Source organism: Homo sapiens, chromosome 3 (assembly GCF_000001405.40).
Source record: "Homo sapiens chromosome 3, GRCh38.p14 Primary Assembly".
NCBI classification, from domain to species: domain Eukaryota; kingdom Metazoa; phylum Chordata; class Mammalia; order Primates; family Hominidae; genus Homo; species Homo sapiens.
Genome location: NC_000003.12, coordinates 101,786,530 through 101,800,798, shown reverse-complemented (window position 1 = coordinate 101,800,798; position 14,269 = coordinate 101,786,530). Strand labels below are relative to the sequence as shown.

The following is a 14,269-nucleotide window of genomic DNA, read 5'->3' as shown; positions in this document are numbered from 1 at the left end:
TTCAGACAGAGCAGATTTCAAAGCAAGGAAGGTTAGCAAAGATAAAGAGGGTCATTACATAATAATAAAGGAGTCAATTCTCCAAAAAAAAAAACAACCCTTAACATGTATGTACCTAACCAATGAGTATCAAAACATGTGAGGCAAAAACTAATGGAGAAATAGATGAATCTACATTATAGTCTGAAACTTCAACAATCCTCTATCAGAAATACACAGATCCAGCAGGCAGAAAATCGGTAAGGACATAGTTGAATTCAACAGCACCATCAATAAACTGGATATAGTTGACATCTGTAAACTACTTCATATCAAGCTCACATGGAACATTCACCAAAACGGACCACATTTTGGGCCATAAAATACACCTTAAAAATTTTTTAAAATAAAAATCATACAGTGTCTTCTCTTAAGCCATAATGAAATTAAACTAGAAATCAATAATAGAAAGAGAGCTGGAAAAATCCCAAAATGGTATACAAATGGGTAACATACAAAATCTCATGAGAAATTTAAAAATATGTTAACTAGGTGAAGGTGAAAATATAATTCATTAAACACTATAGAATGAAGCAAGAGAAGTGCTTAGAGGGAAATTCATAGTACTATACATATTTTAGGAAAGAAAAACAACCTAAAATCAGTAATTTAACCTTACATCTTAGCAAACTAGAAAAAGAAGAGCAAACAATATCCAAAATAAGCAGAAGAAAAATAATAAACATGATAGCAGAAATCAATGAACTTGAAAACAGGAAATCAATAAAGAAAAATCAATGAAACCCAAAGCTGGTTTTTTAAAAGATTGATAAAATTGATAAGCCCTCTACCCAGGCTAAGAAAAAAAGAGGGAGGACACAAATTATTAATATCAGAAATGAAAGAGAAGCCATCACTACAGATCCCATGGACATTAAAGGAATAAAGGAATATTATGAACAATTCTATGCCCATAAATTTGATAACCCAGATGAAATGGACCAATTCCTTGAAGGATACAATCCATAAAGAATGCACCTAATGATGCAAAAGTAATATTATAACTAGTGGAAATCAAATATAAAAGAATGAAGTAGGCCAGATGCGGTGGCTCACACCTGTAATCCCAGCACTTTGGGAGGCCGAGGCAGATGGATCACAAGGTCAGGAGTTCAAGACCAGCCTGGCCAACATGCTGAAACCCCATCTCTACTAAAAATACAAAAATTAGCTGAGTGTGGTGGCAGGCGCCTGTAATCCCAACTACTCGGAAGGCTGAGGGAGAGAACTGCTTGAACCCAGGAGGCAGAGGTTGCAGTGAGCCAAGATCGCGCCACTGCACTCCAGGCTGGGCGACAGAATGAGACTCCATCTCAAAAAAATAATAACAAATAAATAAATAAGAATGAGTAGGGCTTTCTTCATCACTTAGAGCAGGAAGTTAAGATATATTATGCTGTTGGGGAAATAAAAGGACTAGATACATTATTTAATGTTATATATAGAAATAAAATTAATTTTACAAATTGTGGAAGGAGAATGAAGCAGAGGCCTCATCTTTCATTATGTTAACAGTAGTAGATCAGGTGCAGTGGCTCATGCCTGTAATTCCAACACTTCGGGAGGCTGAAGCAGAAGAACTGCTTGAGGCCAGGAGTTCAAGACCAACCTGGGAAACATAGCAAGACCCCCATCTCTACAAGAATTTTTTTTTAAAGTTAGCCAAGCGTGGTGGCATATGCCTGTAGTCCTAGCTACACGGAAGGCTGAGCTGGGAAGATCACTGAACCCAGGAGCTCCAGGTTGTAGTGAGCTATGATCACACCATGGAACTCCAGCCAGAGCAACAGAGCAAGACCTTGTCTCTAACAAATAAATAAATAAATATAAATTAAAACTGGGCTGGGCACAGTGGCTCACGCCTGTAATCCTAGCACTTTGGGAGGCAGAGGTGGACAGATCGGGATCGTTTGAGCTCAAGAGTTCGAGACTAGTCTGGGCAACATGGTGAAACCCTGTCTCTACTAAAAATACAAAAATTTAGCTGGGTGTGGTGGTACACACCTGTAATCTCAGCTACTCAGGAGGCTGAAGCACGAGAATTGCTTGAACCCAGGAGGCAGAGGTTGCAGTACGCTGAGATTGTGCCACTGCACTCCAGCCTGGACAACAGAACAAGACTTTGTCTCAAAAACTTTAAAAGAAAAAAAAAAAAAATATATATATATATATAGACACACATATATATACATTATATATATAGACATATATCTACATACATATATACATACATATATACACATACATATATATGTGTATATATATGAGGATTGCTTGAGCCCAGGAGTTAGAGGTTACAGTGAACAATGACTGTGCCACCGCACTCTAGCCTGGGCAACAGAGTGAGACCCTGTGCTTAAAAGAAAGAAAAATTAAAAAACAGCAGTAGCAGAAACAGCCAACATTTATTGTGATCACTTATGTGCTGGATACTCTTGTAAACAGTTTACATGAATCTTTAAATTCAATGTTCAAATTATCACATGTGGTAAGTCCTGTTATTATGTCCATTTTAGAGACAAGGAAACTGAGGCAAAGAATAGCTTAATAAGCCAAAAAACACATGAAAAAATGCTCATCATCACTGGCCATCAGAGAAATGCAAATCAAAACCACTATGAGATATCATCTCACACCAGTTAGAATGGCAATCATTAAAAAGTCAGGAAACAACAGGTGCTGGAGAGGATGTGGAGAAATAGGAACACTTTTACACTGTTGGTGGGACTGTAAACTAGTTCAACCATTGTGGAAGTCAGTGTGGCGATTCCTCAGGGATCTAGAACTAGAAATACCATTTGACCCAGCCATCCCATTACTGGGTATATACCCAAATGACTATAAATCATGCTGCTATAAAGACACATGCACACGTATGTTTATTGCGGCATTATTCACAATAGCAAAGACTTGGAACCAACCCAAATGTCCAACAATCATAGACTGGATTAAGAAAATGTGGCACATATACACCATGGAATACTATGCAGCCATAAAAAATGATGAGTTCATGTCCTTTGTAGGGACATGGATGAAATTGGAAACCATCATTCTCAGTAAACTATCGCAAGAACAAAAAACCAAACACCGCATATTCTCACTCATAGGTGGGAATTGAACAATGAGATCACATGGACACAGGAAGGGGAATATCACACTCTGGGGACTGTGGTGGGGTCGGGGGAGGGGGGAGGGATAGCATTGGGAGATATACCTAATGCTAGATGACACGTTAGTGGGTGCAGCGCACCAGCATGGCACATGTATACATATGTAACTAACCTGCACAATGTGCACATGTACCCTAAAACTTAAAGTATAATAAAAAAAAAAAATTAAAAAAAAAAAAGAATAGCTTAATAATTTGCTCAAGGCCATGTAGGTTAGAAGCAGCAGAGGATTAGAAGCCAAGCTGTCTGAATTAAGACCTGTGTTCTTAACCACCCATGATACACTGCCTCATATGAACAAGTCAGGAGATACCTTGTAAAGTTCACAAATCAAGATATAAGTATGTAATGTATAATTAGTGCTAACTACCCAAATAATTAAAAATAAGCAACTACATTCACTCAGAGTAAAGAATGGGGAGGGGATCCAACTGTGTACTTAATACCATTCTCCATTCTTTGAAATTTCCATCTATTCCATGAATTACTTTATTAGTAAACAGGATACAGGAATAAATGGGCAGGAAAAAAGTTATATACCTAACCTGAGGCATATAACTAATCTACCTAAGATGTAGAAAACTACATCTTACGTTATGCAATTGGTTAAACTGCAGGGGAATAAACAACAAAGCAAAACCAAAAATCTCTCTCCTCAATAGCTATAGCATTTCCTTGTTTCTAGTAAAACACTTAAACAAGGCCTCAGGATCCCCACCTATAACAAACCACTTCAAAATCCTACATAAGGTAAAAATAATCTCAAGATACAAGAATGTTTAATGCTCTTCTTAGATTCTGTATTTTTCCCCTCTGATTTTATACTAACATACACACATTTTCACTTTAAAGAATCTCATTTAGGAGGCTTCATTTTAAAGGAGTATATGGCAGTATTTGTTCATTTAAAAAATGGCATGGGGAAAACAAAACTGACTTTGAAAAATTCCCTTTATTAACTTACTGATTACCTTTCAGGAAATGTTCCAGCCACCCTCTCCTTTTTAGTTGTTGTAAGTCTGTGACACACCATTAAGGACCAAATCATGCACCATGTGCTTACAGCATAGCTCCTCTTCCTAACCTTTTCCTTTCTTCCTCGCCCAACTGACTGATACATGCAACCCAATCCAGAAATCACCACACATTTGGTGGTAATTCCCCTGAATTTTACTTGCAAATGACAAAAATGCAAAAATGTCAATTTGCTTAATTTTCCTAAAGACAAGGGCAACTTCACACCCGCCATCTTTTTAGGTTTAGAGCTAAGAGGAAATACCAAACAGATGGCTCACTCCTCAAGCCATCATAACCTATGGGCTGGAGTGAACATGGTGATTGCCTGTCCCACATCCATTTCACTCCTGGCCTAGTGAACCATAGCAATGCTGTTTGCTGACCTGTCAGCCCAGGGGTGGGCCTAACTGATGGAGGGGTAGTCCCAGGTAAACGGCTGGTTCAGGAATGGGCATGTGACCCAATTCTGGACTATGAGAACCAGGTGAGGTTGCTGGAGGCTTATGCTTGCATGCAGCCAAATCCAGGCACCACTAATTCCCCTTGGTAACAGCTATTTGAATTGTACTTGCAAATGAAAAAACACAGTACCTTGAGATCATTTCAAGAGAACAACTGTTTCTTCAGGTGGGCATGTACAAGAAAGCAAAAACGCCATTGCTCTGGTAGCCATCCTACAATCAACCATGAAGGAGGATGCCATAGATGAAAGGTAACACACAAAAGAAGGCACAGTTAAGAGGCTTACAGACAAACAGAGGCTGATTCCCAAAAGAACTATGCCCAACCTATCTACTGACTTCTATTCAAATGAGTAATATATATTACCATTAGCTTGAATTGGGCATCTTTACCTGAAGCCCAAAGCCCTAATACACAGGTGTTATAATACATATCTAAAATATCAATGAATAAGGCAAAAGAAAAAAAATACAGAACTTGCTCAATGAGAGTTTATCGGAGAAATAAAAGACTGCAATTCTCCCTCCAATCTTTTGCTAGATATTGTTACAAATACCCCCTTCTCATAATATGGACTGCTTTTTTTTTTTTTTTTAGATAAGTCTCACTTTGTTGCCCAGGCTGAAGTGCAGTGGTGCAATCTCAGCTCAGTGCAACCTCTGACACCCAGATTCAAGTGATTCTCATGTCTCAGCCTCCCGAGTAGCTAGGATTATAGGCACCCGCTACCACGCCCAGCTTTTTTGTATTTTTAGTAGAGACGGGGGTTTCGCCATGTCGGCCAAGCTGGTCTCAAAACTCCTGACCTCAGATGATCCGCCCACCTGGGCCTCCCAATGTGCTAGGAATCCAGGCATGAGCCATTGTGCCCAGCTTATGTAATATTTTTCATTACAATTGAGTCTGCGTTTTAGAAACTGATAAGATACTCCAATCATAAGAGTATAGTGAGTGTCAGAAGCATAGTATGGAAAGGGATTAGAGAGTGAGAGACTGACAAATTTCAGAGCCAGAGCCTTTTCTCCATTTACTCCAAGCTTCTTTATCAATTATCATCACAGTAATAAGTAGCTTAAAATTCATGACAACAGTATCATGCTGGACAAGATGACCTCTTCAGACAGGTGAAAATGCTTATAGCTCACTCCACTAAAAGACGCATCTGATTTTCAATATCACAACTGTTTATTCAATATTGATACCTGCCTTCTCCATTCAGTAGAGAAGAGTTAGTTCGTTCAAATAATTAGAGCCTTTAGCTGGCATTAAGTACGGAAGTTTCCAAGAACTAAAGTAGAACAAAAGAATAATTTTCTAACATTCCTTCCTGACTGTTATAACATTACTGATGTGGGACTGCAGCCTACCCTCTCAAGTCTCTCTGTCTCTCCCTTTACCTTCCTCCTTCTCTACCCAAGAACTACACAACTATCTTTTTTTGTCTATTATAATACTTTGTGTGTTGAATATGATAAAATTAACACACACATTCACAAAACCAATGCAGTAAGTGCCATGCACACTTAAGGTCTTGAAATTTATTGTCCCTCTGCCATCCTACTCCATCTAGAAATCCATTATTTCGAACTCCATCTAGAAAACCATTATTTCAAGTCCCACACAAACCTCCTGGGCTCTACCCTCCTACCTTCCATCTTCTTCACAGCCAGAAACTCCCTGAATGTCCTACCCTCTAAGCAAATGTATCTGCATTGCCAACCATCAGGATATCTTTCCCTCTTAGGTCAGAGGAAGGAACACGGCTCCTCCTATGTAGTTAATAAAATAACAAGAATACTCACAATATACTCATGCTCCTTGTCCTATAAAAGGTTATATGCTCCATCTGTGCTCTAGATCTCATCCTCTCCTCCCCCCTTCAGCTTCTCTATAATCTCTTTCCCCACAAATTCAAGTCCCTCAAACTTCCACTTCCAGCAAAGATAGAGAAACAGTAATGCGATTTAGCCTCTCACATGAAACAACTGAAAAAAAAAAAAGGCAAAATACATGAAACAATGGTTTTCCAGACACTAGGCATCAGACAATAAAACACAGTGATGCCTGAGAGACAGTAAACAAACGAGATGAGCCCAAGGACTGTCCTTAGCTTAGTGTCTTGAGAGAGTTTCCAGGCTGCAGCACAGGAAGAGGAGCCCCGGTGGAGCATGGCAAAGCACCCAAGGCAAGGAGATGAGGCTGAGAGTCTTAAAGACCATGGTGATTATAATTCACAGGAAAGCAAAACAACTGTGAAGAAAAATAACTCAGGAGATCTACAGACAGTCCCACTCAAGTATTCAACAGAGCGATGATAAGCATATGTGTATAAAGAAACTATTGGAGGCTGGGGAGAGAACTACTGAAAGCAAAAATAAAAATAAAAATAAAAACAATAACCTGAGTTTATACAGGAATAGTACTTCCTACCAGCCAGACTGGAAAAGCACAGATAAAAAAAAAAAAAAAAAAAAAAAAAAAAAGACCTTGTCAATTAATACAAAAAAAAAAGGCAGAAAAAAAGGAAAAAGGGGAATAGAGAAGAGGTGGGACAAATAAAAAACAAACAGCAAAATGGTAGATGTAACCATAATGCTTTCAAAAAATATATTAAATGTAAACAGGCTAAGCACCCCAACTAAAAGGCAGAGATTGTCAGATTAGATAAAAAACAAGATCCAATTACATGCTAGCTAGAAGAAACCTGTTTTAAATATAAAAACACCACAGACAACATGAATGAGCAAAAGCTGGAAGCATTCCCCGTGAAAACCAGCACAAGAAAAGCATGTCACCTCTCACCACTTATATTCAACATTGGAAATCCTAGCCAGAGGATCAGGCAAGAGAAAGAAATAAAGGGCATCCAAATAGGAAGAGAGGAAATCAAACTATCTCTGTTTGCAGACGACATGATTCTATATTTAGAAAAACCCATAATCTCAGCCCAAAAGCTCCTCTAGTTAATAAACAACTTCAGCAAAGTTTCAGAATACAAAAACAATGTACAAAAATCACCAGCATTCCTATACATCAACAGCAGCCAAACTGAGAGCCAAATCAGAAAGGCAATCCCATTCACAGTTGCCACAAAAAGAATAAAATACTCATGAATACAGCTAACAAGGGAGGTGAAAGAGCTCTAAAATGAGAATTACAAAACACTACTCAAATAAATCAGAGAAGACACAAACAAATGGAAGAACATTCCATGCTCATTAATAAGAAGAATCAATATAATTAAAATGGCTATACTGCCCAAAGCAATTTACAGATTCAATGCTATTCCTAGCAAACTACTGACAACATTCTTCACAAAACCAGAAAAAAACTATTTTAAAATTCATATGCAACCAAAAAGAGCCCAAATAGCCAAGGCAATCCTAAGCAAAAAGAATAAAGCTGGTGTCATCATGTTACCTGACTTCAAACTATACTACAAGGCAACAGTAACCAAAACAGAATAGTACTGGTACAAAAACAGGCACAGAGACCAACAAAACAGAATAGAGAATCCAGAAACAAGGCCACACATTTATGACCAATCTGATGTTCAACAAAGGTGACAAAAACAAGCAATGAGGAAAAGACTCCCTATTCAATAAACGGTGCTGGAATAACTGGCTAGCCATATGCAAAAAATTGAAACTGGACCCCTTCCTTACACTACATACAAAAATCAACTCAAGATGGATTAAAGATTTAAATGTAAAATCCAAAACTGTAAAAACCCTAGAAGACCACCTAGGCAATACCATCCCAGACATAGGAATGGGCAAAGATTTCATGACAAAAACACCAAAAGCAATTGCAACAAAAGCAGAAATTGACAACTGGGATCTAATTAAACTTAAGAGCTCTGGCACAGCAAAAGATACTATCAATAGAGTAAACAGACAACCTGCAGAATGGTAGAAAATATTTGCAAACTATGCATCTGACAAAGGTCTAATATCCAGTGTCTATGAGGAACTGAAACAAAATCTACAAGAAACAACCCCATTAAAAGATGGGCAAAGGACATGAACAGAAACTTCTCAGAAGACACACATGCGGCCAAAGAGCTCAATATCACTGATCATTAGAGAAATGCAAATCAAAACCACAGTGAGATCTCACACCAGTCAGAATAGCTATTATTAAAAAGTCAAAAAATAACAGATGCTGGCAATGTTGAAGAGGAAAGGGAACACTTATACAGTGTTGGTGTGAGCGTAAATTAGTTCAACGATTGTGGAAAGCATTATGGCAATTCCTCAAAGACCTAAAAGCAGAACTACGATTCCACCAGCAATCTTATTACAGAGTGTATACCTAGAGGAATAGAAGTCATTCTACCATAAAGACACATGCATGCAAATGTTCACTGCAGCACTATTCACAACAGCAGAGACATGGAATCAACCTAAATGCCCATCAAAAACAGACTGGATAAGGCCGGGCGTGGTGGCTCACACCTGTAATCTCAGCACTTTGGGAGGCTGAGGCAGGCAGATCACGAGTTCGAGATCAGCCCGGCCAATATAGTGAAACCATGTCTCTACTAAAAATACAAAAATTAGCCAGACGTGGTGGTGGACATCTGTAATCGCAGTTACTTGGGAGGCTGAGGCAGGAGAATAACTTGAACCTGGGAGGCGGAGGTTGCAGTGAGCAGAGATCGTGCCATTGCACTCCAGCCCAGGTGACAGTGCAAGACTCTGACCCAAAAATAAATAAATAAATAACAGACTGGATAAAGAAAATCTTATGTTCCATAAAAAATATAAGAAAATGCAAGAAAATCTTATATTACATATACAGCATGGAATACTATGCAGCCATAAGAATGAAAGAGATCATATCTTTTGTGGGAACATGGATGGAGCTGTAGGCTGTTATCCTTAGCAAACTAACACAGGAACAGAAAACCAAATACGGCATGTACTCACTTGTAAGTGGGAACTAAATGATAAGAACTTATGAACACAAAGAAGGAAACAACAGACACTGGGGTTTACTTGAGCGAGGACAGTGGGAGGAGGGAGAGGAGCAGAGAGGGTACTGGGCTTAATAATTGGGTGATGAAATAATATGTACACAAACCCCCACTGACATATGCTTTCCTGTGTAACAAACCTTTACATGTACCCCCAAACCTAAAATGAAAGTTTTAAAAAAAATACAATTCAATAAATAAATATAAAAACACAAGTAGGTTTAAAAAATAATAACTGGCTGGGTGTGGTGACTCACACCTGTAATCCCAGCACTTTGGAAGGCCAAGGCAGCTGGATCACTTGAGCCCAGGAGTGCAAGACCAGCCTGGGCAATGTGGCGAAACCCCGTATCTAAAAAGAAAATACAAAAAATTAGCCAGACGTGGTGGCGCACACCTGTTGTCCCAGCTACTCAGAAGGCTGAGAGGAGAGGATCACTTGAGCCCGCGAGACAGAGGTTGTGGTGAGCCATGGTCATGCCACTGCACTCCAGCCTGGGCTACAGAGCATGACCCTGTCTCAAAAAAAATAAAAAATAATAAAATTATGGAAAAAGATATACTTGCTAACAGCAAACAAAGGAAAGCTAGAGTGGTTATATAATATCATACAGAGTACATTTCGGAGCAAAGAATTTTACCAAGCATGAAGAAGGCCAACTCATGATGATAAAGCAACTAAATTCATCAAGAGGACACAATTCTAAACATTTATGTACCTAAGAACAGAATTTCACAACACATGAAGTGAAAACTGACAGAAATGCAAGGTGAAATAGACAAATTCACAATTATAGTGAGAGACTTCAATATTCTCCTTTCAATAACTGATAGAGCATGTAGACAGAAAATAGTAAAGATATACAGAAGACAACCAACACCATGAACCATGTTGATCTAACTGACATTTATAGAATACTCCATGCAATAAAAGCAGAATGCATTCCTTTCCAGTACACATAGAATATATACCAAAATAGACCATATTTTGTGCCATAAACAAATCTCAATAATGTTTTAAAAGAATTCAAGTAATACAAAGTATGCTCTCAGGGGAATTAAATGAGGAATCAATAACAGAAAGGTATTTGCAAAATATCTAAATATTTGAAAGTTAAATAACACTTCTAAATAATATATGGGGCTGGATGCAGTGGCTCACACCTGTATTCGCAGCACTTTGGGAGGCTTAGGCAGGAGGATCGCTTGAGTCCAGAAGTTTGAAAAAAGCCTGGACAACATAGTGAGACCCCATCTCTGCAAAAACATAAAAAATTAGCTGGGCATGGTTGCAGACACCTGTAGTCCCAGTTACTTGGGAGGGGGAGGTGGGAGGATCACTTGAGCCCAAAGGTTGTGGCTGTAGTGAGCCATGAGCATGCCACTGCACTCCAGCCTAGGTGACAGAGTGAAAATTTGTCGCCAAAAAAAACCTAAATAACACATGGGTTAAAGAAAAGAAAAAGGGAAATTAGAATGTAATTCAGCTGAATGAAAATGAAAATGAGAACAATATCTAAATGTGTGGTATACATTAGAGCAGTATATAGAAATACATTTTTTATTATTTTTATTTTTATTTTTTTAGAGACAGGGTCTCACCCTGCTGCCCAAGCTGAAGTGCAGTGACATGATCATAGCTCACCATAAAGTCAAACTCCTGGGCTCAAGGGATTCTCCCGTCTCAGCTTCCCAAGTAGCTAGGACAACAGGCACACACCACTACACTCACCTAATTTTTCAAAATTTTTTGTAGAGATGGGGTCTCACTATGTTGCCCAGGCTGGTCTCAAACTTCTGGCCTCAGGTGATCCTCCTGTCTCAGCCTCCCAAAGTGCTGGGATTACAGGCCTAAGCCACCACACCCAGCCTTGTAGAAGAAAATTTATAGCATTAAACATTTAATTAGAAAAGAAAGATCTCAAAACAATGACTTTAGCTATCACTTTAAGAAACTAGGACGAGACAATTAAATCCAAAGTAAACAGAAGAAGGGAAATAATAAAGATCAGAATGGAAATTGACCAAACAAAAAAACAGAAAAAATACAGAAAATGAAATCAAAAGCTGGTTCTTCAAAAAGATCAATAAAACACAAATCTCTGGTCAGAGTGATCAGGAGTAATAAGATAAACACAATTCTACAGATATTAAAAAGATAAAAGGGGTTTTGGAAATCTATTCCAAGACAATGTAAATAAGACTTAATGCTACTGAGGCCAGGCATGGTGGCTCATGCTCGTAATCCCAGCACTTTGGGAGGCCGAGGTGGGTGGATCGCCTGAGGTCAAGAGTTCAAGACCCGCCTGGCCAACATGGCAAAACCCCATCTCTACTAAAAATACAAAAATTAGCTGGGCATGGTGGCAGACGCCTGTAATCCCAGCTACTCGGGAGGCTGAAGCAAGAGAATCACTTGAATCTGGGAGGAGGAGGTTGCAGTGAGACGAGATCATGCTACTGCACTCCAACCTGGGCAACAGAGCAAGACTCCGTCTCAAAAAAAAAGACTTAATGCTACTGACCTGTACACCTAAAAATAACTAAGATACCAAATTTTATGTGTTTTCATCACAATTTTTTTAAAGGATAACAAAGTAGATCAAAGACCTAAACGTAAGAGCTAAAACTATAAAACTCTTAGAAGAAAACACAGAGGAAAGGTCTTACAACATTGAATTTGGTGATGATTTCTTGGATATGACACCAAATACACAGGCAACAAAAGTCAAAACAGATAAACTGGACTACATCCAAAGTAAAAATTTTTATGTATCAGAGGACAAAATCAGAGTGAAAAAGCAACCTATGGAATGGGAGAAAATATTTGCAAATCATATGTCTGATAAGGAGTGAATATCCAGAACACATAAAGAACTCCTACAACTCAACAACAACAAAAAACAAACAAACAACTCCGTTAAACAGTGAGTACCGGAATTGGATATTTATCCAAAAGCACATGATAGAAAGATGCTCAACATCATTAATAATTATGGCAATGCAAATTAAAACTACTGTTATACATTACCTCACATCCACAAAGAAGGCTACTATCAAAAAAACAAAACAAAATGACAAGTGCTGGCGAGGATGCAAAGAAATTGGAACCCTTGTGTACTGTTGATAAGGATAAAAAATGATGCAGCTATTATGGAAAATAATATGGTGGTTCCTCAAAAAATTAAAATTACCATATAATCCAGCAATTCCATTTGCGGGTACCTATTCCAAAGAATTAAAAGCAGAGTCTTGAAGAAATACTTGTTATCCATTATAGCCAAAAGGTAGAAACAACCCAAATGTCAGATGAATGGATAAACAAAATGTGGTATGTATGTACATGCTGTAGCATCTATCGGAATTTCCTTCCTTTTTAAGGTTGAATAATATTCCTCCGTCTATGTGTAGACAGAGAAGTATTACTCAGCCTTAAAAAGAAAAGAAATTCTGATACATGCTACATGAGTGAACCTTGGGGACGTTATGCTAACAGAAATAAGCCAATCACAAAAAGACAAATACCAGGCCAGGCTTCATGGCTCACACCTGTGATCCCAGCACTTTGGAAGGCCAAGGTGGGAGGATCGCTTGAGGTCAGGAGTTCAAGACCAGCCTGGTCAAATGGCATAACGCCATCTCTACTAAAAATACAAAAATTAGCTAAGCGTGGTGGCACACGCCTGTAATCCCAGCTACTCAGAAGGCTGAGGCATGAGAATCGCTTGAACCCAGGAGGCAGAGGTTGCAGTGAGACAAGATCGTGCCATTGCACTCCAGCCTGGGCAACAGAGCGAGACTCTGTCTCAAACAAACAAACAAACAAAAAAAGGACAAATATCATATGATTGATTCCACTGGTATAAGGTACTTAGAGTTGTCAAGTTCATAGAGACACAAAGTAGAAGAGTGAATGCCAGGGGCAGGGGATAGGCAGGAATGGGTAATCATTGTTTTTTGGATTTGTTGTGTTTTTTTTTTTGAGACAGTCTCCCTCTGTAGCCCAAGCTGGAATGCAGTGGCATGATCTCAGCTCACAGCAACCTCTGCCTCCCAGGTACAAGTGATTCTCAGTAGAGACGGGGTTTCACCAGGTTGACCAGGCTGGTCTTGAACTCCTGACCTCAAGGGATCCTCCCACCTCAGCCTCCCAAAGTGCTGGGATTACAGGTGTGAGCCACTGCGCCTGACCTAGGTAATCACTGTTTAATGGGTAAAGAGCTGCAGTTTGGGAAGATGAAAAAGTTCTAGACATAGATGGTGGGGTGATTGCACAACAATGTGAATGTACTTAATGCTACTCAATTGTACACCTAAAAATGGTTAAAATGACAAATTCTATGTTAGTTATTTACCACAAAAAATACTTTAAAAAAAGAGTTTCTAAAATATCTAGACACATCATCAACAGCTTCCAGGTAAAAGGAACTATCGGTGTAGGATTGGTAGTATCTTATATAGTAAAACACACAAGAACAGTTTAAGCAAAGAAAAAGAAGAAGAAATACTTAGCTTTTATGCCTTAAGCCTATTTCTAATAGGAAATCTTTAACAGAATCTTTAACAGAATTACTTCACATTCTCCATAGTACCAAACAAATTT

At 38.7% G+C, this 14,269-nt stretch overlaps 1 protein-coding gene across 12 annotated transcripts in view; it reads right to left on the bottom strand.

Moving 5' to 3' along the window:
* Positions 1-14,269, bottom strand: part of NXPE3 (neurexophilin and PC-esterase domain family member 3) — a 49,021-nt gene that overhangs the window by 27,433 nt on the left and 7,319 nt on the right. The gene's annotated exons all lie outside the window — the stretch shown is intronic.